Raw genomic sequence first — 25,483 nt, 5'->3', positions numbered from 1 at the left:
CACAGAGGTACATTTTCCCGGTGAAAACTCCTTGAATAAACAGTCAAACACATCTTTAAGATCTTTGTCTTTTCCTATTTTGATTTCAAGCAGACGTACCACGAAAGGTATCTCTCATGGTCCAGGAGGGAGCTGTTGCCTTCTTGCTTCTAAAAAGTGATGGCTTATTTAGACAGTGACACGCACCAAGATGACAACCCTGGAAAAATCAGAGCATAGAGTGGCCCTTTGTGGGATGGGAAGGAACCTTTCATTTCCATAAAAAGTCTCCTTGGTCAAGCTTATTTTAGTCTCCTGTGACTGCAAATCACAGTGACTTTGTATATATGTCCTGGTTTGTTGCTCAGAACCTAAAACTTCCTTCAAAGATCTCAAGTGCTTTGAGATGTTTCTTTTTATATCACTTTGAATGGTATGATTTTTTCATTACACCAGGGAAACTAGGAAGAAATCCCAGGTCCTGTCCCTAGGAGCACTCCCAAATCATAACAACAGCAACTTTATTGTGAGGACTAATGCACCTTCCCATAAGCCCTTTCAATCCTTGAAACCATTTTGTAAGGAAGGTGGAAGCACCCCCCGATTTATAGATGAGGAAATTTAGGCTCAATGAGTCTAAAGAACTTGGGAGCTATTAATGGAGTCACTAAGTGGCAGATGCAGAATCATAATGGCCAAGATGAAGCAAACATTTATTTAAATAGCAACCTCCCAAGCCTATTCAAAAGCATTTGCCTGTGGGGCCTGGAAATGCATTCATTCACAAGTGTGTATTTTGAGATTACGAGGTGGCAGTAGGCTGCTAAGGTCTCCTTGCACAGCCAAAAAATATGTACGAATAAGCTCTCGGGTGGTTGTTCTTTTTGTAACTAAGAAAGCTGTCGCTATAGCAAAGGTCATCACTTTGGCAGTTGCTGTGAATAGGGGGCCCTTGCTAAGCAAAGCAAGTTTCACTCTATTACTGTTAACACAGGAGTCACCATCAGACCAAAGCAGCAGAGTAGAAATTGCAATTAAATTTGCTGTCAATCACACCTCTCAAGAACCCCTGATGTTTCATCAAACATTTTTTAAATGTATTCTTGCTTAATCTAGTACTTTCCTATATTGAAGGTATGGATTTAAGGGTCTCAGAGTATCAAACTTTTTAATACCATGTAAAAATCTGGTCTCTTTTTCTCATTCTCTTTTTCCTTACTTTTCTTGAGAAAGTGCCTAGGTCAAGGGCTTGCATGTCTGTCTGCGTGTCTGTCTCTCTCTTGTTTTCTTCTAATTTTTGAGTTCCAGTTCTGATTTATATGTCTTCAGATTGAGAGGTATGTTACCAGACTTTCTGGAATACATCATTTTTATATTATGGTGTAGAATAACTTTTCCATGGCGAGGTTACATATACAGTCATTCCTCAGTATACAGAGGGGATTGGTTCCAGGAACCCCGTGTACACCAAAATTCTCACATACTCAAGTTCCCCAGTCAGCCCTGCAGAACCTGTGAATACAAGAAGTTGGGCCTCCATATCCATGGGTTTTACATTCTGTGAATACTGTATTTTTGATCTGTATTTGGTTGAAAAAAATGCACACATAAGTGGATCTGTGTGGTTCAAGCCTGTGTTGTTCAAGGATCAACTGTATTTAGTAAATTCTGAAGATTTGGGATGACTTTGTAACTGTCCAGTAGGTTCATTTTGCTCACTGCCTAGATAGAGCCAATTTATCAAGACAAGGAAATTGCAATAGAGAAAGAGTTTAATTCACGCAGGGCCAGCTGAACGGGAGACCGGAGTTTTTTTATCACTCAAATCAGTCTCCTTGAAAATTTGAAGACTAGGGGTTTTCAAGGATAATTTGGCAGGTAGGGGGCCAGGGAGTGGGGAGTGCTGTTGGATCTGAGATGAAATCACAGGGAGTCGAAGCCGTCTTCTTGGGCTGAGTTGGTTCCTGGGTGAGGGTCACAGGACCAGTTGGTTAGTCCCAGTGAGGTTATCCAGTTGTCAGAAATGTGAAAACCTAGAAAGACATCTCAAAAGGCCAATCTTAGTTTCTACAATAGTGGCATTATTAGCAGGAATAATTAGGGAAACTGCAAATCTTGTGATCTCTGGAATAATGGCTGGTGATTATTTAATGATACCTAACCTTTCAGTAGAATTCAGGCCCCTCTCTTCCTTCTAACTTGGTGGATTTTCATTAGTTTTACAAGAGCAGTTTAATTTTTGAGAAGGGCTATTATTTAAACAATAAACTAAATTTCTCCCAAAGTTAGCCCGGCCCACGCCGGGTGTTAGAAATACCAAAATAGTTAGAAATAGATAATCGGTCCCATGAAGAAAAGTCAGCACCGAGACAAAAGATCTCTCAGCAAGGCACTCTTTACTTTCTGCAGAAAGGGTGCCCCTCGCAGATGGAACAATGGCGAGAGCACACCTGAACAAATGAAAAGCAGATATATTTGTCCCTTATGCATTTGGGTCATCCTTACCGCTGTGTCCTGCATCCATTGGCTGGAGCTGAACCTCACAATCTTAAACTGATACCTGATTTGCTAATAGCCTAAAACTTTCCTAAATAGGTAAGTGCAGGGAAGAACAAAGAAGGAAAGGAAGTTGCTTATGAAAGGTTTAAGGAAGCAATAACATTTCCAAATAAGGAAGGGGCATAACCTATGAGCAAAGACTAGGCTGGGCCTGTCCAGACATGCCTGGGCTAAAGTGTAAGAACTAATAGTTGATAGGAGGCTTTAGAGTAAGGAGCTATTATTCCTAGTGTCTACTATTTTATTTTTAAACCAAGATGAGCTTTGAAGAGGAACTTTTCTACTTTCTGCACTGGGGAATGAGTGAAGACAGCCAGCCTGTGAGGTTAGAAGCCATGTCAGATTTCTCTTACTGTCATAATTTTGCAAAGGCAGTTTCAACTTGCAGGATTGTTCCTGAAATATTGGCCTTTTCCTCTACTGGCTACTGGTCTGAAATATTTAAGGACACAGGTGAAAACATGTGGCCTACCTCTTTGATTCCTATTTCCAGTGTCTGGAATAGCACACGGTTAAAAGGTTTTTCTTAAACTTTTTTGTTTTTGTTTTGTTTTGTGTTTTTGAGGTGACGTCTTGCTCTGTCGCCCAGGCTGGAGTGCAGTGGTGTGATCTCGGCTCACTGCAGCCTCCACCTCTGGGTTCAAGCAATTCTTCTGCCTCAGCCTCCTGAGTAGCTGGGACTACGGGTGCATACCGCCACGCCCGGCTAATTTTTATATTTTTAATAGAGATGGGGTTTTGCCATGTTGGTCAGGCTGGTCTCAAACTCCTGACCTCAGGTGATCCTCCCGCCTCAGCCCCCCAAAGTGCTGGGATTACAGGCCTGAGCCATTGCCCCCAGCCTCTCTTAAACTTTTATCACTTTGTTTTTTGTTTTGTCTGTGGGAGAAATAAAGGTTTTCCTTTCTCCTGTTAGGTTCAGTGACGGGCCTGCAAACTTAAATGACAAAAGACAAAAGCATACAATTTTATTAACATTTTACATGCAATGGGAATTCACAGAAAAAAATAAAACTCAGGAAGCAGTTAGACTCAGGGGCTTATATGCCATTTTAACAAAGGAAAGGGGATTTGGGCTTTGAGTGATGACGAATTGTGGGAAAGCAACCAGGAAATATATGGGAGAAATTAATGAAAGATAAGGGTTATTTTGGTAAGATTTGTTTATGAAGAATATTGTGTCAGGTTTGAATCAGCCTAGTTATGTTAACTCCAACAGGGCCCAAGAGGTTTCACAATGAATCAGTGACCAATTAAATGTTTTCAAATTCACGATTTATTGTGAGGCTTTCACACACCAGCAATCATGTAAGTATATTCAGCGCATAGGCAGTGATGAGAGAGAAGGGGACAAACCACAGCGAGTAGCCAGGGAGACCCACACACCCACAGACAAACTAGAGAGGGCCAGAATTTTCTAAAAATGCTGACCAGCAGGGGATTAACTGCTCTTTTTGGGCAGAACTTCTGGCCGCCACGGCTGGTATCCAGAGGCGGCCTCAAAGTTACCACAGACAGAAGTTCTACAGATGCTTCTCCATGGTCAGTTGCTTTGCTGTTTTTATGGCCCTCCACGGAGTGTGCACACTTACTATCTCAGCTGCCATGTGACTTCAATTTCTCGTCAGGTCTTAGGGTGCCTAGCCACAGCAGGTATTATCACCTCAGACCATTATGCATATGTTTATCACTTTGAGGGGTCAACAGTTTCACTGTCACTTGTCATCAGTGACTTCATTTTGAGACAATTAGCATCACAAAACATTATTATCTATCAAGATTCATCTTGGTGCCGACTGTCTCTGGTGATAGGAGTCTCTCTCTTCTTCCTGGTACTGAAGTGGGTGACACCATCTCAAAGGGAAATGTATGTCTGCTTTTAGACAGAAAAGGGAGTGTAGAGAACTCTTCTTCCTGCGTTTGTTGATTCTCAGTTGCCTTCAGCTCAAAAGATTCCTGATGCCAAAGTGGCATCATTTAGGGTGGTGTATCCTGATTCCCTTCATGTCCATCTTCCCATTTCTTATTACAGCGAGAGAAATGGTATAGAATGGAAACTTTTCTCCCAAATCTGAAAGATTTAGGGCTGTCAGATTTGACCACTGTCAAATATTCGATCATTGAAAATAGGTTCCCTTAACATCATGGTCATTGCCAAATATGATCCATGGTTACACAGATGCTCCTCAGCTTACAAGGGGGTTACATTTTTTTTTTAATTTCAGTAGTTTAGGGGGAACAAGTTGTGTTTGGTTACATGAGTAAGTTCTTCAGTGGTGATTTCTTAGATTTTGGTGCACCCATCACCTGAGCAGTGTGCACTGTACCCAATATGTAGTCTTTTATTCTTCACCTGCATCCCGCCCTTCCCTTCGAGTCCCCAGAGTCCATTGTTTCATTCTTATGCCTTTGTGTCCTCATAGCTTAACTCCCACATATCAGTGAGAACTTAAAATGTTTGTTTTTTCATTCCTGAGTTACTTCATTTAGAATAATAGTCTCCAACTCCATCCAGATTGCTGAAAATGCCATTATTTTGTTCCTCTTTATGGCTGAGCAGTACTCCATGGTGTGTGTGTGTGTGTGTGTGCATATATATATATCACATATTATTTATTCGCTCATTGATTGATGGGCATTTGGGCTAGTTCTATATTTTTGCAATTGTGAATTGTGCTGCTACAAACATGCATGTGCAAGTGTGTTTTTCATATAGTGACTTCTTTTCCTTTGAGTAGATACCCAATAGTGGGATTGCTGGATCAAATGGAAGATGTACTTTTAGATCTTTAAGGAATCTCCATACTGTTTTCCATAGTGGTTATAATAGTTTACATTCCCACCAGCAGTGTAAAAGTGTTCCCTTTTTACCACATCCATGCCAACATCTATTATTTTTTGATTTTTAAATTATGGCCTTACAGGAGTAATAACACCTTATAGGAGTAAGGTGTTATTGCATTGTGATTTTGATTTGCATTTTCCTGATAATTAGTGATGTTGAGCATTTTTTCATATGTTTGTCGGCCATTTATATATCTTCTTTTGAGAATTGTCTCTTCATGTTCTTATCTACCTTTTCTAATGGGAATATTTGTTTTTTTCTTGCAGATTTGCTTGAGTTCCTTGTAGATTCTGGATATTAGTCCTTTGTTGGATGCATAGTTTGCAAAGATTTTTCTCCCACTCTGTGGGTTGTCTGTTTACTCTGCTGATAATTTCTTTTGCTCTGCAGAAGCTTTTTAGTTTAATTAAGTCCCATCTATTTATCTTTGTTTTTGTTGCATATGCTTTTGTATTCCTGGTCATGATGTATTTGCCTAAGCCAATGTCTAGAAGGGTTTTTCTGATGCTATCTTATAGAATTTTTGTGGTTTCAGGTCTTAGATTTAAGTCCTTCATCCATCTTGAGTTGGCTTTTGTATAAGGTGAGAGATGAGGATCCAATTTCATTCCTCTACGTGCGCCTTTCCAATTATCACAGCACCGTTTGTTGAATAGGGTGTCCTTTCCGTACCTTATGTTTTTGTTTTCTTTGTTGAAGATCAGTTAGCTGTAAGTATTTGACTTTATTTCTGGCTTCTCTATTCTGCTCCATTGATCTATGTTGCTGTTTTTGTGTCAGTACCATGCTGTTTTGGTGACTATGGCCTAATGGTATAGTTTGAAGTCAGGTAGTGTGATGCCTCCAGAGTTGTCCTTTTTGCTTAGTTTTGCTTTGGCTATGCGGGCTCTTTTTTGGTTCCATATGAATGTTAGGATTGTCTTTTCTAGTTCTGTGAAGAATGATGATGGTACTTTAATGGGAATTGTGTTGAATTTATAGATTGCTTTTGGCAGTATGGTCATTTTCACAATAGTGATTCTACCTATCTAAAAGCACGGGGTGTGTTTCTATTTGGTTGTGTTGTCTTTGATTTCTTTCAGTAGTACTTTGTAGTTTTCCTTATAGAGGTCTTTCATCTCCTTGGTTCGGCATATTTCAAAGTACTTTATTTTTTTGCAGTTTGTAAAAGGGTTGAGTTCTTGATTTGATTCTCAGCTTGACCACTGTTGGTATATAGCAGTGCTACTGATTTGTGTACATTGATTTTGTATCCTGAAACTTTACTGAATTCATGTATAAGATCTAGGAGCTTTTTGGAGGAGTCTTTAGGGTTTTCTAGGTATATGATCATATCATCAGCAAACAGCAACAGTTTGACTTCCTCCTTACTGATTTGGATGCCTTTTATTTCTTTCTCTTGTCTGATTGCTCTTGCTAGGACTTCCAGTACTATGTTAAATAGAAGTGGTGAAAGTGAGTATCTTTGTCTTGTTCCAGTTCTCAGGGGGAATGCTTTCAACTTTTCCCTGTTCAGCATAATGTTGGCTGTGGGTTTGTTATAGATAGCTTTTATTACCTTAAGGTATGTCCCTTCCATGCAGATTTTGCTGAGGGTTTTAATCATAAAGGGATGCTCAAGGGGGTTACATTCTGATAAACCCATCATAAATTGAAAACATTAAAAGTTGAAAATGCGTTTAGTACATCCACCCTACATCATAGCTTAGCTTAGCCTAGCCTACCTCAAATATGCTCAGAACACTTATATTAGTGTACGGTTGGGCAAAATCATCTAATATAAGACCTATTTTATAAAGTGTAATTTATTCCATACCGTACTGAAACCAAAAAACAGAATGGCTATGTACTCAAACTACAGTTTCTACTGTATGCCTATCTTTTTCACACCATTGTAAAGTTGAAAGATCATAAGTTGAAGCATCATTAAATCAGGGACTGTCCGTATTTTAAAATCTCCCATTGGTTCTTATAAGTTTAAAAAACATGTCACATCTGTAGTGTAAACCATTCTGACATATTTTGCGGCATTTGTAGGGGAATTGGAACGGTGATAGAGGCAAGAGCTAGAGTTCAGAGTGCAGCAGGGCTTAAAGAAATGCTGCAAGATAGCTGCCCTCTCCCATGTGGCTAACCTACCTCGGTGAGGATTCCTGCAAACAGTTGGGAAGAGGTTGGGGGTGAGATCCGACAGCTCTATCAATTTCCTGGTCTTTGCCTTCACAACAGCTGTCAGTATTTGTAGTCATCATCCCTGTCCAGAGAGAATTTCCAGGGCCTCCCAGTTCCCACACCCAGGGCTGGCTTTGGTGAATTGCTTCTGCAGGCATCATTTATAATTGGGGATTGAGTTGTTCCTTGACAAAGGAAGGTGTTTCAGAATGGAAAGCTGTCATATCCTTTCGGCCTTGAATCTCTCCGCTATGTTTTCATCAAATCTCTCTTCCCTCCCTTTCCCATCACAATTTTAATAAACTCCTAGCTAGAAAGAGTGACTTAAATATATGGATTCTACACGTATCCCACTATATTCAACATTCCACTATTATCAGAGCAAAAATGTCAACCTTTAATGTTGGCTCTCGCTTGATCTGAATATTTAAAAGAGGCTTCTTTTTAAACCGTTTTATGTTTTGCTATTTATGCTGCCTCTTGCCCCAAGAGATTTAGAGGAAAGAATCTCTTGGTTTTGTTTTCCTTCCCTGTGAAACCCAGTCTTAGGCAGGCTGCCACTTTTCCCTGACATTTCCTTTACATAGTGCTGTTATTCTAAACTGATGGTCACAGAGTCCTTCTCAGTAACAGTTAGACAAAGTGCTCTGCATAGCTGATAAATTATAAGCAGGCACCGTGTGTTAGCTTGATGGATTGTTATAGTGAATGTGTGTGAGTCATGGGTGTTATTTTTGGTCAAAAGAATCCTGTGAACTTTTCTCCTCTATTTTGAGCACTTTGAAATGTACTACTTTCTTTTTTTTTTGCTGTTCTTTAAGGTGTATGTCAAGGAATTAGGCACCATATCAGAATAGTCATTTTCTAGTTTTCAAAGTTATTGTTTTGGAGTTGAGGAGGTGGAGGGACTGAATAGAAAAGAATTGTATGTTGACAAGGAATCTAGCCTGTTAAAGGTAAAAGAAAATTACAGTCACCTGCTTTGAAGCAGTGGTGCCACCCCCACCCCACTGTACTCCAGGGGCCAAGTTTAAAGCTGGGGTAGATTTACAGTGAACTCACTTGGAGGATTGCGATTTTAATAAACCACTGTTTTGCAGCTAATGTAGAAATGCTGGCTCTTAGTAGATTTCTTTTCAGCCAGGCTCCAGAGTAAATAATTTTCAATAATCACATCACTAGGTCTCTAAATAACTGTTTCCTAAAGCAGCCCTGCCCTCCGTCCTGGCCATCACTGGAATTATTGACTGATTTTTATAAAGTGTCTTCTTTACTCTAGTTTCCATATCCCTAGGAAAACCATTTGAGCTCAGTGCTTTTTAAAGTGAGGCCCAAGGACCAGGGCCAGGCTGCAACCTAATTGTTTCTGGTCCATGACAAGATACATACAGAAATTGAGAGTAAGTGTTCAGAAACTTTTATAGCAATTTGACAGCATGGTTTTATGTCTGTTGAATCTAATGATACACACTTGGGGTTTTATCTTCTTGTCTTCTTAAATTTATTTGCCTAGTAACTCATTTTTATTAGATTTTACAAAAGTATTGATCTAGTATGGATTGAGAAAAGAGAACTCTTTTCCCACCAACAGATTGAGTTGTACTGGTTTACCCATACAGTAGCTACCAATGTAGCCACTGCAGTTACATTGGTCAGTGAATGTCAGGGTCTTCCTGCCCACCAGAGACTAAGGAAATATTGATTTAAAAAGGGAAGCTTAGGGAGGTTGGAGATTTTTTTCCCTTGTCTTTTTTTACGTTTTCATTGTTGCCCTTACAGACATTTCTTTGGACCTCTCTTCCGCTAAATGAAGGTTTAGGTGAATTTTGCTGCATCTTCTCCAGATGGGGATGCTGAGATTCACCTGAATGTGCAGTTGGCAGCCAGCTCCCAGACCGAGCAAGCGCTGGGCTGCTCCTCCCGCTGCTCCCCAGGGACAGTCACTGCTGCCCAATGGCCTGGCCCTCCATCTGGTAGGGAGGGATTATGTTTGCTGCCAGGGAAAAGGATCAATGAGCTAATGTCTGGGGAATGTTCTGGAGTTCCGTGGAGGAAAGGCAGAGGCCGCCCACATGTGACACCTTGAGCTAAGGAAGGAGAGCTGTGGATGGAGAGGGGGAACCAGGAAACGAAAATCAAGAATTGAGTCATCTCTCGACTTCGCTGTAGTCCTTGTGGTCAGCCTGCTCTTGTGGCCTTGAGCTGCGCTTTCAAATGGAAGTTTTGAGATGTGATGGGGTGAGGGAGAGAGGGAAGCCTGTTTGCCTTTTCCCCTGTCTGGGACTTTTTCTCCAAGATATCTACAAGGCTCTCTCTCTCCTTTTTCAAGTCTTGATGTAAATGTGGCCTTCTCAGTGAAACCTTCTGCGGCCCTTTCTTCCAACACATTCTATTCCCTTTGCCTGCTTTATTTTTCTCTGCAGCATGTTATCATCTAGCACACGGATTCATTATATATTCTATTGTAATATAATGTAGTTAATGTAATGTCACCCATTCGATGTCAGTTTCTAAGGGCAAGGGTTTTGTCTGTATTGTTTGCTGCTGTATCTCCAGGTCTAAAACAGTGCCAGGCAGATGCCAGGTGCCCAATAAATATTTGTCAGATAAATGAATGAACAAATAATCAACAATAAAGGGGCAGGATTGCAAAGGAGTCAGCTGTGTCCAAGGAGAGGCCTTCGCTGCATTTACACAGCTCTGTTCACTGAGCGTTGGAGTAGCAACCACGGAGTGGGCACAGTTGAGGGAGGTAACCCACCTTTAGTGAGCCCACACATGATGCCAGGCACTGTGGTAGGCATTCTTTGTTCATTATTTAAAGATCAAATAACTATGTGTTGCTAGCTCTGTCTTACAGATGGGAGACCCAAGAGATTAAGAAACTCCTGTCATGTCACCCAACCCAGGAAGTGGCATGATCAGAATGCAGCCTCTTCTCTCTGATTCCTCCCATTTAGGGAAATTTCCAAAGGCAGTCATTTGTTCACAGTGTCTCATGTTTCTTTGCTTTCCTACCTACAAAATAGGTTTTGATTTTCCTCATCCATCACTAAATTTTTGTCTTAGGAGAACAGAAATCTGGGAAAATTAGAACTCAAATATTACAAGATGGGAGCTTTGCAAATAGGGGGCTGAAAAATTCGATGGAGTTACTGAGTAATGTTCTCAAATAAGTGAGTAGAGATCAGGGCTTGATTAAATCCAGCCAAAGGGGATGAATGTTTTTCTTTTTTTTCTTTTTTCTTCCTTTTTTTTTTTTGAGACAGAGTCTCTCTTTGTTGCCCAGGCTGGAGTTCAGTGGCATGATCTCAGCTCACTGAAACCTCCACCATCTCCACCATCCCAGTTCAAGGGATTCTCCCACCTCAGCCTCCACTGTAGCTGGGACTATAGGCATGTGCTACTATGCCTGGCTAATTTCTGTATTTTTTAGTAGAGACAGAGTTTCACCATGTTGGCTAGGCTGGTCTTGAACTCCTGACCTCAGGTGATCCACCCGTGTCGGCCTCCCGAAGGGCTGGGATTACAGGTGTGAGCCACGGCAGCTAGCCAGGGATGAATGATTTTCTATGCAAGTCTCCATGCCAGGCATTGGTTTCAGTCTTGGTACACTCTTATTATTCCTGATCTCTCCTAGGGAGAGTGCAACCTCCACACTCAGCTTATTGCCTCTTATTTTAAAAATAGTTATGGAGCATCTACTAGGTGCTTGGGAGAGGTCAGTAGAGACAACGAAGTTCCTTGCCCTTCATGGAACTTATGTTTTAGTAAGGAGAGGGAGACAAGGAGTCAACAGTAAGCAATGAACCATGAAGTAAATGATAACAGATGGCAAGTGCTCCAGAAAAAAAGGTAAGGTAGCACCGGGGAAGGTTTCAGTATTAAATCGATCGGTTAAGATGGACCCTGTTGAGACGGTGACCTTTGAGCAAGACTGAAGGAGGTGAGGAAGTGAACCAAGAGGCTCTCTGGAGGGAGAGCATTCTAAACAGAGAGAATAGGGCCCTGGCACTGAAATAGGATCATGCCTGGTCTGTGTGGGGGACCACAGGGAGGTGAGCATGAGGTGGGGAGACCTAGTAGGTAAGACAACAGGATATCCCAACAAATGGGATACGGGAGGTCAGCCAACATGTAATCGTTATCTTCTTTTCCCTTTAATTCTGTTTTTAGTACCCACCATAGTTACATATTCCCCAAAGTATTAGCATTGAAGTCTTTGGAAATTTAGCCATTCCAGTCGGGTTAGTTCCCTAACCTCTCTGGATTTGGGTTTCTTCAGCTGCAGCAGGAAGGGATTCTTTCATATTAAGATCATCTCTAATATCCCTCGTTTGACTCTCCTTGAATGATCCCCCCTTCCAGGAGGCCTGTTTGGATTGCTTACTTGCTTCCTTCCCTCCTTTCTTCATTTATTCATTATGAGCTTTTAAAACACTTGTCGGTACCTGAGCACTGTCTGGAACAACGCACATGGAAGCAGAGGAAGCAGAAAGCAGAGTCTCTGCCTTTCAGTAGTTTGCAGTCTCTTCCTGCTAAGGTTCAGTAAGAATGTGATAAGTCAGGTGAGAATTAGGGCAAGTCCATTAGCAAAGTAAGAATAGTATGGGAGAACAAGAAGCCATGTGAGCGAGGACTGTGAGTAAAAGACTGGAATAGGTAGCTAGATGGGCGGCCAGGAATCCCAGGTTCAGGAAATGTGGGTAAGGGGTGAGGATATGGTAAAAGGTGTCTGCATGCTCTGGGGAAAGGGACCATGAGGCTGTGAGATGGAGCCACACCAAAAGGGGAGGCTGGCTGATGGACTGGCCATGGAGACCGGAGGGACCTGGATCCCAACAGGAGGCAAATCTTAAGGAAAGGATGATGTCATGAAGATGGGAATGAAGGGCGATTATCCTGGCTATTTAGTACTATGTGAGGTAGAATAAGGAAATAAAGAAGGGGAAAACCAGCCCAGGAAACTGTTGCATTTCTTCTGGATCCTGATTTCAGAGATTGTTGCTCGTCACTGACTTCTTCTCTGGCCGCCCCCTAGAATTGTAATCAAAATTCTAGGCATTGAGGTCACACACGAAAGCTCATGAGACAACATATATTTGAAGAATAAGAAGCTATCCAAACAAGAAAATGAAACTTTTTCTATGTTGTTGGCCTGGCCCAAATTTTACAATTGAACTCTATGTCCTTTTTCCAGATTTTTAGTGATAAATTCTCTCTCTCTCTCTTTTTTTTTTTTTTTTTTTGAAATGGAGTCTTGCTCTGTCACCCAGGCTGGAGTGCAGTGGCACAATCTCAGCTTACTGCAACCTCCGCCTCCCGGGCTCAAGCAATTCTCCTGCCTCAGCCTCACAATTTTTTTTTGTTTAAGGCAAATAAGACTGACTCTTCCATTGCTTGTTCAAGTACCCTCTGTGAGCCATTCTGTAAACAAAGAATATCTCCAAATTGAGGTTCATGGCCAACTTCATTTTCCTGCGTGCCATTGTAGTGGTGTGATTCACACACTGGCTGCATTCATATATGTGTTTACTATAACGGGCTTTGTGTGGTTCAACTGGGGTTAGACACCAGCATCCACAAGCCCAATGAAGCCCTGCATTCATCCACTCCTCCATTTCTGATTGTATTTCATAATGTGTTGATATTTCTAGGCTAATCTTGCACAACTATTGAGAGATTCTCAGGACCGAAATAAACATCTGGGAGAAGAAATTAAAGAACTTCAGCAAAGGCTTGGAGAAGTCCAGGGCGACAACAAGGTACTGTGAGTATTTACAGGGAAGAAGCTCTGCTGCAACATTGTGCGTTCGAGGTTTATATATTGCACATCGGAAAAATGTAATGCAGCATTTGTTGAAAAGTTTGTTATAGATTTTTAAATTTATAATGAAAATTCGCAGTTTAGCGTATCTTACCTTTTTACATTCCCTTTGTGTGTGTGCATGCATGTATATGTGTGTTTCTCAGTGGCTCTAAAATATTGCCACAACCCATTGTGGAAGTTTCATTATGTTCAACTTAGTGGTGAATAACACTGTGGTTGAGGGCAAAATAAAACCCAAATGTTATACTTTCGCCCTTATATACAAATAATGGATTTGTGGCTCAGATGATTTGGAATTATTCACATTCGGTTTTGAATTTTAAGTAGTCATCCTACTAATTATGTTCTCATAACCAATTTATTTTATTGCTAAATTTGGCAATTTGTATGGAACATTGCTCAAAATCCACTGCTTGGTATTAATCAAACTCCCCTGTTGGCAACGTTAATTATAAAATATGAACTCATAAACTCCCAACTAAATGTGTGCACTCTCTCTCCCAGCTGAAGCTATGAACAAAAGTACAACTGAGAAAGGAAAGAAAAACTACCCAAGTTTAATTCTGTCCTCCCAAATCATTTCCTGTTTTGCCAAGATTGATTCATTTCCAACTCCTTGCCAGAGGTGGCTTTTGCAACAGAGATGGCTTTGAAAGTGGACTCAAGAAGACTATAGTGTGTGTGTGTGTGTGTGTGTGTGTGTGTGTGTGTGTGTGTGTATGGTGTGTTGGAGGGGAGCAGTTCTTGGGGAAATGTTTTTAGATGTTACCAAATTGCTTGACAAATGATGGTGACTTTCATCATTGCTGGGAGTTGTTGGTTATTAGAAGGAGCCATTATGAAAAATGCTCACTCTTTAAAATATGCATAGAATTGCCTGGGTCATCCAGAGAGCTCTTCCATAATAAGACTTCAGAGAGGATGCTGCATACTGCTGGCTTGAGAGTCCTGACTTGAGGGCATATAAACATCTAGTAAGCCTTCCTTACACAGCTTCTTCTCCACTTAACTGGCCTTAAATTTTTTTAACCTCTTGGATTTAACATAAATTTGAAAACTTAGGCTTTACTATTCCTAGTCATGAAATAGAAGGTGGGAAAGAATGTCCAGGAAAGGCTCTGATTAACACTGGACAAGCTAATCCAGCCGCTCGTGGTTTTATTCATCATTAAAAGGATTTAAACTCCGTAACCTAGGTGTTTGGTCAATAATTAAAGGACAGACCTTCTTACTCACTTCCTCAAGTGATAGCAGGAGGGCAAGATTTTCTAGAGAATAAAACAAAATGTATGCAATAGTTTTCTTTAAGCCCATGAAAATACTAGAGGAGTTTATAAACCCATGAAATACTGAAACATATTTAAGATGTGACTTTTGGATCTGTGACTCTTCTTGACTGACTGATAACATATTTTTTCTATTTTATTTCTTTTTTTTTCCTGAGCTGCTCCTCCCCTCAACTTTCCTAAATATGCTCCTGTCTCATCTTTTGGTCACTTTCAATTCTTTTGCCTTTTAGGTATGAGAATTTTAGGAATTGACGTTTGCAACTGACAGTTCATGGAAACAAAGAGAGAGCAGCCAGGCGTGGTGGCACGCGCTTGTAGTCCCAGCTACTCAGGAGGCTGAGGCCGGAGGATTGTTTGAGCCCAGAAGGTTGAGGCTACAGAGAACCATGATCATGCCAGTGCACTCTAGCATGGATGACAGAATGAGACCCCATCTCTTTCAAAAAGAAAGAAAAGAAAAGGAGGGCATGTGTGTGAGTGTGTTAGTGTGTGTGAGAGAGCATGTTTATGTGTGTAACACTGAGCACAGGTGGTCACAGTCTGAACTTTCTGATCTGCATGCTCTCTGAGTCTTTATTCCAGTACCTGGGCACATTTATCAAACTTTGTCTTCTCACCTTAGGTTTAGAATTTAGTGACTGCTATTCATGGCCTGTAAAGAAATTTGCCTGCCAAAAGGGGCAGGGGAAGATGTTCTATTGTTCAGCAAACCTCCCCATTTCAGTATCTGGCCTCTCTCCCTAAAAAAAAAAAAGTCTAACTGCAGTAAGCCCCAGAGATTCCATTTATTCTCATTTGCCTCTAAAGTTACAGGGCTGGTTTATTTTCAGGCTCATGTGAGTCATGATCATCCTTCCCCCAACCCCCACCAGAGGCCAGATTACTCATTCCATAATGGCACCAGGCTTTCTTGAGAACCTCAGAAGCCCCCGTTCCCAGGTAACTGTGACTGTGTGGTAGAGAATGAGTTAAACCTTCAATTTTTTTTGAATTAATTATGGCACTTTCTACTCCAACTCTTCCATCACTTTCTGCATTCAGTTCTACCTCCTGGTGCCTAGGCCTCCATGATCATGGTGTGCTAGGCCCCCATGATCTGACCCCTACTCATTTCTGCAGCCACATCCTTGCTCCTGGTCACCCTTACTTGAGCCCTGGAGCACTAATTTCAGCCCCTTTGCTGTGCTACACTGCCTGTGGCCACAGGACCTTTGTGCCTGCTGTTTGCTCAATCTGGAATACTCTTCCCCTTTACTTCCCCTGCAAGCTCTGCTCCTCTCCCAGGTCATAAGTCAAATGCAGCCTTCTCCAGCTCTTAGGTGTCAGTCCTGTGCAACCTGCAATGTCCTGCTCTGCCCCTCTGCTTCTCACTTGCGTGGCACCGACAGCCCCAAGGGGAAGCTCTTTGAGGGCCGAATTTCCATCTGTATCCTATAAATTAGCATTCTTAGTTCTTGATAGGTAGGTATTATATAATCTCTATTGAAGGAATGGAATGGAATAAATGAATGAATGAAATGAATGAATAAAGGGAACAAAAAGAAGAGCAAAATGATTCAAGGAAGAGTAAGAGAAAAAGAAAAAAAAAGTATGCAAGAAATAAACAGACCAACTACCATCTGGTTGTCATCAGTACTTTGTGGAGTAAGAAGTAGTTTAGAAATTTGGAGAAAGGAACCAGAAAAGCAAACTGTCCCAACAGAGGGGGGACTAACCCCAGATACATGTATTTGAGAAGCTTCTGTGGAGAGAGCAGAGGGTCAGTTGCTGAGCCTTGGGGGACAAGGGATAAGTGTCCTGCTCCTTGACTGGTTGAAGTCTGTTAAATTCAAGAATACTTAATAATTGCTGTTTTTGGACGCCTAACTCTGAGGCCAAACAGCAGGGCTGATGGCGTCATTTTATGAGTGACTGTTAAAGTGGAAGATTTTTATCTCTGAGTTGCCATTTTAACTGATGACCCTTATCTATATTTTGGGAAGCCCAGATTCTAGATGTTAAGTACGTTTGAAAAACAAGGTGATAGGAAATTACTTGCCTTGGATATTTTAGGGTAGACTAATTTTTCCATTTGTTCAGCTAGAGCCTTGTAACCCTATGGGCCATAAAGCATTTCCAAATAGCCTCCTGAAAGATTTGTTGCCACCCTGGCTTCCAAGCAGCTTAGCTCTCACATGGGGCAGGGGGCAGCGTTCTTGTGCCAACATGGGCGTCCTGTGATGGGGGGAGCCTGTGTGATTGATTACCTCCTGCTATCTCTGTCCAGTGCGCAGGAATTTCTTAGGCTCCCAAACTAACACAAACTTCCAAGCCAAACCAGATGAGAGATGTGAAAAGGGAAACCTACTGGATACCATCCCCTTCCTTAAAAATTACAGTTCTTAAAGATTAACAAGGTTAGAGGAGCCCTCTGGGAAAAGGAGGGCTCACAAAGCCACGCATTACCCTCGAAAAGCTTTGCACGTTGCCCAGGGCTCTCAGAGTGTCAGTCTATAAGGAATGAGGAAAGACTCAGGCAGTGCTGGGGCCACAGAGACAGTGGCAGCTCCCCTTGGTCTGCCGCAGAGGTTGGCCTGCTTCCTCTTCTGGGCGTTAAGAAAAGAGTGGATTCAGGGAAAGGGGATCAGGAGGAAAAAAGGGGTCTCGGAGAATTTAAGGATTAGTAGGTCAAACAGCAGAACTAGCAGAGGACATTGGAATCACAAAGACAGCAGTCCTTTCTTATCTGGGGGATACTTCCCAAGACCCCCAGTGGATGCCTGAAACCTGGGTTAGTGCAGCTCTCGGTTGCCATCAATCAGAGCCCATTTCTCTTCATGTCTTCTACCTACGAATGTAATGCCTTTTCCATCTTCACTGAGCACTTATGCACTGTGGCTGTAGCTTTTGTAGTTTGAGGTGCGGCAGCAAAACTAGCACAGATTTCTCTTTCCTTCTTGACAATTTCATGGATAGAAGATTGGTTCTTATTGCAGATCTTAGCAACCTCAGCATATGATTTTTTTTTTCCTTAAGTCGAGAACTTTCACCTTTTCACTTAAAAGAAGCAGTATGTGGCTTCTCTTTGGCATGTCCAAGTTGCCAGCATCACTGCTCTTGTGTTTGGGGTCATTATTTATTGTATTTATTTATTTATTTATTTATTTATTTGAGATGGAGTCTCACTCTGTCACCAGGCTGGAGCACAGTGGTGCAATCTCAGCTCACTGCAACCTCCGCCTCCCGGGTTCAAGCGATTCTCCTGCCTCAGCCTCCTGAGTAGCTGGGACTACAGGCACGCGCCACCACGCCCAGCTAATTTTTGTAGTTTTAGTAGAGACGGAGATTTACCATGTTAGCCAGGATGGTCTCGATCTCTTGACCTCATGATCCACCCACCTCGGCATCCCAAAGTGCTGGGATTACAGATGTTAGCACCGTGCCTGGCCGAGGCATTATTAAGTAAAATAAGGGTTCCTTAAACACAAGCACTGCAATACTGTGACAGTTGACCTGATACCTGAAATGGCTACTCAGTGACTAAGGGGTGGGTAGCGTAGACAGCATGGACCCTGGACAAAGGAAGGATTTGTATCTCTCCAGCAGGGCCAGGTGGGACAGACTGGGACACGAGATTTCATCATGCTACTCAGAATGGCATACGATATAAATCTTATGAATTTTTTATTTCTGGGATTTTCCATTTAATATTTCCAGACCACGGTTGACCTCAGGTAACTGATACCAAGGATTAGGGGGACTACTATACCCTGAGGTGTGCTCCTGAACCAGCTATTTGAAAGAAGCCTGACTTGTAACATTTTGCCAATGTCTGTGTGATAAATACTGGTACCATGACAAATGTCAGGTTACCAAAGTGAAGTCACTGAACTTGGAAATATTTGGACTCTAGGAAAAGATAGCTCCAGCCTGTCTCTGTGAAGTGGAGCAGTGTAGTGCAGCCCAAGAGGTCCACCTTTTAAGATTGTCAGACCCAGGTTTATGTTCTCGTTCTGCCAGTTATTGTCTGTGGCCTTTGGCAAGTCAGTTTTCTCTCCAGGCCTCAGTTTCCTCATCTGTAAAGTGGCAATAATAATGCCTCTCATCGAATTGTTTAATCATTTATTCACCACATCATTTAGTCCCCACATAATTGGGGACTTCCTACATGCTAATTAACTTTCTAGCATCTGAGGACACATCAAAGCAGCTGAGGACACATCAAAGGATAAGAAAGACAGGGTACTAGCTCCCATGGTACTGATATTCTAGTTGGGGAGTAGATAATAAGAAAATAAAATACGTAAGTAATTTCATCAGACAGTGCTTAGTCTGAGAAGAAAAGAGAACAGGACAATGAGATTTAATGATTTAGGGATGGACTTGCATGCAATATCGTTTGTAAAGGGTGTTGCATGGTGCATACCACCTAGCAAGCACTTAACAGAGGGTAAGTGTTGCTGTTGTCTTTAGCATAACATGCGCCCATATTGACTTAGAATCCACTTGTGCAAGAATTCCACCAGAAATCTTAAGATCTTCCTCTCTATTGATCAGCTATTTCCAGTGAACTAGATGTGTCCCCCCAAGTAGAGACAATGATCCTGGTGAGACACCTGGCATGTGGCAGATGGATCCCCAAAAGTCAGCCCTCCTGATCACCAGCCTCGACTTCGCCAGCATCAAGCATTATTGCTTTGGTGCCAAGCTCCTGGGAACTTTCTTGCATTTTGTGTGCTCCTTGTGGAATAAGCACCTAATAGGATATGCCAGAAGCGGCAATTCATGTTCCCACTGGGACAGATGGCAGTTGGTCTTCTTGTCTGTTTACTTTAAAGATTATGGTACTTTCATGCAGAGGACCAATAATACAGTGCGATGTATTCAAAAGCAAGGAAGTTTGCGGTAGGCAAATGCTCCTACCAATGTCACACATTTACACTTCCTGGGCCCCTGCTGGCAAATTTAAATTTAGCTGTTGTGATATTGCATAAACACAGGGTTTTGCCCTTAATAATGAGCTTTATGTTATACCAGCTGAAGGTCTTTAGGTACCTCTGTTTTATCTGTCATTGGTGCCGTGAAATGATAGAGACCTTCTGTGAACATACCTCTATTGACGTGGGACTTTTGGATGAATTTGGTGAGCAAACCAATTAAGATACAGCTACAGGCCAATAAAGACAGACCAATGAGTGTGCAAGTGACTAATTAAGGTACACTTCGTTAAAAAGGAGTGCTCAGCTGTGGATGTTTGTCATGGTCCAGGATGAGGGATCAGAGAGCTCTTTGGAAGCTGTTTCACTTTATGCTTCAAAAGGAGCAGAGAGATGTCCTAGCCTGCAAGAAACTGAAGTAAAGATGGCACTCTAATGAAAAGCTCTCGCCTTGGGGCACTATAGAAATTAATTATGAGGAATTACAATGAGTGAGAAGGGCCCTTCACCGCACCCCACCTCCCTGCCCTATCATGTCTTGCTCTACCTGGGATCTTGATTATGAACTATAGGCAATGCTCAGCGAGTCCAGCAAGCGGCCAGTCTAGTTCAGCAGTGTCTAATGTTTTATTCATAAGTGAATTGGATACACTTGGTCTTCCGATACCTCATTTGAGCCTGTCATGGCTTACATGAGCTCATAGTCTGGGTAGACCACGTGACCAAAACAGCATGGTTTTCAGATATTCATCCCATAGACTGTGGACATAATTACACTTCCTAGTGGAGAACTGATTCTGAAAGATATCTCTGCCCAAGACTTATTTTATCATACACCATATCCAAATTACACACTAAAATGAAAATAAATCAGAGCTTCTTTAAAACTGCTTGATGGGACACTAAAGATTTTGGCTCTGGGAGCAACATGTGCTGAACTATCTGACAGTGATTCAGGGGCTTCTTAGCTGTGTAATCTTGGGACAATTGCTTGACTTCTTCGTGCCTTAGTTGTTCTCATCTGTACAATGGGGATAGCAGTAGTACTTGCCTCATGGAGGCTGGTTCGGTCAATTCATTTCAACATGTATTTGTTGAGGACAGACTGGTCTAGGGCTAACAGCAAACAATATCAATGAGTCCCTGCTCCCATGGGAGTTTCGTTCTAGTGGAGGCAGATGGACAGTAAGCAAATAAATCATATTTCACAGATTCCAAGATGCACAGTTTTTCACATTTGGACATCTCTGGTACAGTCGGTATTGTGTAGTTACGACTGGCACTTTTTATTCTTTTTAGAGGTGCACAGTGGTGGCTCTTAAAGTTGATGGAGTCTTATATTTGATGAACTGCGGTATAATATGTCAGGAGGTGATACGTGCTAAGTAAAAAACTAAAGCAGGATAAGGGGCTAGAGAGTGCAGCCCAGGTGGGGCAGGGATGCTGTTTGTATCAGGTGGTCAGGGAAGGCCCTCTGCGCATGTGCGTGACACAGAGCCCTGAAGGAAGTGTGGTGGGAAGGGTCAGATATAGGGACATGGGGTGTGAAGTCCAAAGACCCTGTGAGGGGAGCGAGCTTAGGGTGTCAGGGGCTTGGTGCGGGAAGGCATGCCGTTTGCCTTTTGTGAGGATTAAATAAAGAAAGTTCTATAAAGCACTTGACATAGAGCACATTCTCCAGGGGAGCTGCTGTGCAGGTATTGTTGCCACGGTTGTGAAGAGAGGCAACGCAGCATAGACTTCAGAGCCCTGAACTGCCGGGCTCAATTCCTGACTGCCATTTATAAGATTTGTGACATAGGCAAGTTCCTCCACTTCTCTATGTCTCAGCTTCTCATGTGCAAATAAGGATAGCAACAATACCTGCCAAGGGTGCTTGGTGGACTTAAATGGGTGAATGGGGATCAGCACCTAGGATAGTGCATGGCATGGCACATTAGTGCTAAGTGTTACCTGGCCAAAAGCTTTGGGCCCAGGGCACTGTGGGCCACTGATTTTTATTTTTATTTTATTTTATTTTATTTTATTTTGAGATGGAGTCTCGCCCTGTCATCCAGGCTGGAGTGCAGTATGTGATCTCGGCTCACTGCAACCTCCGCCTCCCGGGTTCAAGCAATTCAACTGCCTCAGCCTCCTGCGTAGCTGGGACTACAGGTGTGCACCACCATGCCCAGTTAGTTTTTGTATTTTTAGTTGAGACGGAGTTTCACCATGTTGACCAGGCTGTCCTCGAACTCCTGACCTCAAGTGATCCACCTGTCTCAGCCTCCCAAAGTGCTGGGATTACAGGTGTCAGCCACCATGCCTGGCCCGGCCCATTGATTTGTACATGGTTCCCAGTGGGCCACAGTGCCCTCAACCTGAAGCTTTTGGCCAGTTAACACTGGCCTCAGAGCCATGTGCCAACCTCTCAGGGGGTTCTCGCTACTGTAAAGAGGAGATGACAATGTCTGCCTCTGAGAGTTGTGGGGAGCACAGAATGAAGGCTTCCTATTTAATAGATCTAAGAAGCATTTGAGGACGGGCTATGGTTAGCCAGACACGGTTGTGGAGGACAAGGTGTTTCAGTGCATATGACAAGCAAGGTTCATGCCATGATGGAGCTGAAGTGGGGTAGACACAAGCAGATGAACGCGATTATTTCTGGTAAGTATGATGAAGACAGAGAGGCAGGGCAGTGTGGATTGAGAGTGGCTTGGGGATGAATGCCTCTAGTGATAATGTGCAGAGAAGGCTTCTCAGAGAGGGGAGATTTGATCTGACCTGAATGAGACAAAAGAAGCGGGTTCTGGACAGACCTGTGAGTGGGCTCTTCCAAAGGCAGAGGAAGTGCAAAGGCCCAGGGACAGACATGAGAGTGGCATGTTTCGGACAAGGGAGGGAAGCCGGCATGGCTGGAGCACAGACATAGGGGGATGGTTAGAAATGGGGTCAGGAGGCAGGTAGGAGCAGGTCATATTGTGCCTCTTCAGCCCTAGTAGAGGCTCTATGCGGATCTCAGTGCTGTGAAGTGCCACTTGGGGGTATCTGTCAGTGGTCTAAGGAAAGCTGCTAGCACACTGCTCGCTTGGACTGCATTGGGAGCTTGTTAACTGGGAGACATCCGTATACACACTATTGAGTGTGTGCGTGTTGATCTCCAGGGTAGGAGGATGAAAACTACTGTTTTGATTTGCTTTGTTTTAAGTGACAAATTATTTTGTTTGAAACTAAAACTGGAATGTCATATAAATCTAGGAATTTGGACTCTGGTGTACACAATAGGTGGCCCACTTGGAGCCTTTTTAATCTCTCATGTCCAGTTTTTTTGAAGGTATTTGCAAAAGGTCAGGGGGCATTTGGAGAGGATGTGGAGGAAACTAACAGGAAAAGTAAAGAAATAATAGGCAGGGTCTTGTTTTTGAGTTGCCCAGTACAGTGCCACTCCGGATGAATGTTTAATAAATGCCTTTTGGTGCTGACCTCTCCCCAGGTGTGCTATCTGCAGCAGTACACGGGGACTGGGGGCAAGAAAGGGCTAGCATCCACTTCCTGTTAATGATTCTTTCATCTGACCCTCTCGATAGCTCTGGCAAATTGACAGCTACTGTGTAAGAATTGTAACTATACCAACTGTAACTGGGGATTGCACTTTGAAAGCTCATGAAGTTACATGGACAGTGATCATTGCATTGTATCTTCCTATTGTGGTAAAGTGATCTCCACAGATGGAATTGTGCAGTGCACAGCCTGGGCAGCCATACATGGCTGTCCTGTCTGCAAGATAGATTTTATCCATTTTTTTTTTTTAAACAAGTCACATGTAGCCCACCAGGGTTAGAAGCTTGCCAAGGGCACATAGCTAGGATTAGCAGAAGCTGGATCTGAACGGAGATGACACCCGGAAAATAGCTGCTCCTGCAACTGGCTGCCTCTCACTGTTGGGTAAAACAGATTCAGGTAAATGAAAATAGGATGAGGTAGAGAATGTTGAGGACTGTGAGAGACGAAGGCTAAGAAGAGATCAAGGAAGGAGCAAGTCATTCTGACTTGGGAGGCCTGGACAGGCTTCATGGAGGACAGACTGAGCAGGCCCTTGGCAGAGTTGGGGGCAGGACACCCAGAAGCCGTTTTACCACTTTGTTTTGCAGCCATGTCCCTCAGCCACTTCCCAGCTGCAGCTGCACCTCATCCGCAAGCTGACGACTCACACCCATAATTCATTCATAAACATTTATTTCTATCTAAATCAGCAACTGAATGCGTCTATTGGTGGCGGCGCGGGTGCTGTGCAAGGCACTGATCCACTTTGTGGGTTGGCACAGGGAGGCTGGCTGTGCAGTTTTGATGGCCCTGTTTGAGGAAATTAAGTGTCCTGAGCGGTTGCTTCATAGCCATTTTCCAAGGTGGAAAATCAACATCATTTGCCTGCACTACATAGATAAGGTTGGCTCGGGAGCTCTGCTTTCTCCAGCTTAGAAGAAAGGTGGGACTTCCCTCGTGGGCTTCTGTGTGGGGAAACATACATGGAGGAGGAGGAGGATGATAATTACAATAATCACAAGAGTCCCTAACATTTATTATTTACTTATTAAACACATTATATGCTCCAGGGCCTGTGCTAAGTATCAAAGAGAAGTCCCATCTTTTCTTACTTAGGGTTAGGTTCTGAAGTCAGCATGTAAGAGGCAGAAACTTGTATGTAGCCAGAATTCCCCCTGATGGTCCTTTGAAATTGTCCAAAACTTGCATGGTGTATGTATGCTTTGGAATAGCGGTATTATGTAAAAATAGAATAGTGTGACTTTGCATAAATATATTATCAGTCACTGTCACCCCTCACTCTCCAGCAGGGATATTGAGCATAGGAATTGGGAGAATCACCCAATGTTTTGGTTTATTTCTCTCTCATCCTCTCTTTCCTCCTCTTTTTAATCCCCAGACTCATATATATGACTATTTGAACTCCCCTGAGTTCAGTGTTCATTTAACTCAACCCCACTCTCTCACTTCATGCCTACACTTTTACTGCTGTGTTTTTGCAGAGAAGGATACTGAGACTCCAAGAAGTTCAGACAAGTCCTGAGGTTGCACAGCTCACAGACTGTGGGGCCAGGATGCAGGCCCTAGGTGGGCCAACTCCAGTGCACACCAGCTGTCAGCTCGGAAGGCAGGAGCCTTCTCCCTGGGGCTCTGCCATCTCCTCTGCGGTGACGTCCTTAGACCCCCTCAGCTGACTGCACTTAAGCTTCAGACACAACTAATGATCCAGCTATTACCAACTTGGGCCTCACTTTTAAAAATAAGTGTTTCAACCAGTCCAGCCCTGAGATTTAACAGCCGATATTGTATGCACATTAAACACCAAATGATTGTTAACATATTTATTGAAGCTTAACAGGCATCCAATATATAAAAGATGACTCTTATATGGCTGTCAGACCTCAATAAACATGTTTAATAATTAATTGGCATTAAGCAAACATAATTGTGCAATTCTAAATTAAGTGCTCAGTGAAGCATATTGGGAATGGAAAACCACAGTGTTTTATAACTTAAAGTTCAGGCTGTCAGTATGGCTTTTTATAGACCAAGAAAAATACCCTGCTTTTGAAGACACGACCTGAGCCTCCTGTTGGCCTCATACTGAAAGGCAGGAGTTTTCTTGTTCCTAGACCCTCAGATCTGATAGACATTGTTTTGTTTGGCTTGTCGTTTGCCTTCCTGTGTATCCACTTTTGGAGTTCTGATGTCCCAAGCCAAGAGTTGTGTGATGTGATAGAGTTTTTGCATATCAGCTTTCAGTGGAATGACCAGTTTTGCTACAAATTTGTTCTGTGAAGTCACTGCCAACTACTGGATTAGTGAATACTGAACCATTGCTCCTAGAAGAAATGCAGGGTTAGGTTCCTGG

At 42.7% G+C, this 25,483-nt stretch overlaps 1 protein-coding gene across 8 annotated transcripts in view, besides 3 other annotated features; it reads left to right on the top strand.

Moving 5' to 3' along the window:
* The window catches only part of CCDC149 (coiled-coil domain containing 149), a 176,691-nt gene that overhangs the window by 113,813 nt on the left and 37,395 nt on the right, over window positions 1-25,483 (top strand). For all 8 annotated transcript variants that reach the window (XM_011513908.3, NM_001130726.5, NM_001395273.1 and 5 more), the window contains one exon: window positions 13,213-13,320. In XM_011513908.3, the coding sequence (XP_011512210.1) occupies window positions 13,213-13,320 (108 nt within the window). The remainder of the gene's footprint in view (window positions 1-13,212; window positions 13,321-25,483) is intronic.
* Window positions 1,992-3,191: an enhancer, noted in NCBI's record as "MED14-independent group 3 enhancer chr4:24864823-24866022 (GRCh37/hg19 assembly coordinates)". NCBI's record gives its function as "activates an origin of replication core promoter dependent on BRD2, BRD4, P300/CBP and CDK7 cofactors, and independent of MED14, by STARR-seq in HCT116 cells {active_cell/tissue: HCT116}" and the evidence as "EXISTENCE:reporter gene assay evidence [ECO:0000049][PMID:35650434]".
* Window positions 8,959-9,459: an enhancer, noted in NCBI's record as "H3K4me1 hESC enhancer chr4:24858555-24859055 (GRCh37/hg19 assembly coordinates)". NCBI's record gives its function as "activates a minimal SCP1, AML or CMV promoter by ChIP-STARR-seq in primed H9 embryonic stem cells {active_cell/tissue: H9 hESC(primed)}" and the evidence as "EXISTENCE:reporter gene assay evidence [ECO:0000049][PMID:30033119]".
* Window positions 9,460-9,960: an enhancer, noted in NCBI's record as "H3K4me1 hESC enhancer chr4:24858054-24858554 (GRCh37/hg19 assembly coordinates)". NCBI's record gives its function as "activates a minimal SCP1, AML or CMV promoter by ChIP-STARR-seq in primed H9 embryonic stem cells {active_cell/tissue: H9 hESC(primed)}" and the evidence as "EXISTENCE:reporter gene assay evidence [ECO:0000049][PMID:30033119]".

The sequence above is a fragment of the Homo sapiens genome, chromosome 4, assembly GCF_000001405.40.
Source record: "Homo sapiens chromosome 4, GRCh38.p14 Primary Assembly".
NCBI lineage: Eukaryota > Metazoa > Chordata > Mammalia > Primates > Hominidae > Homo > Homo sapiens.
Note: the sequence above shows the minus strand (reverse complement) of the source record. Positions and strands in the feature narration are given on the sequence as shown.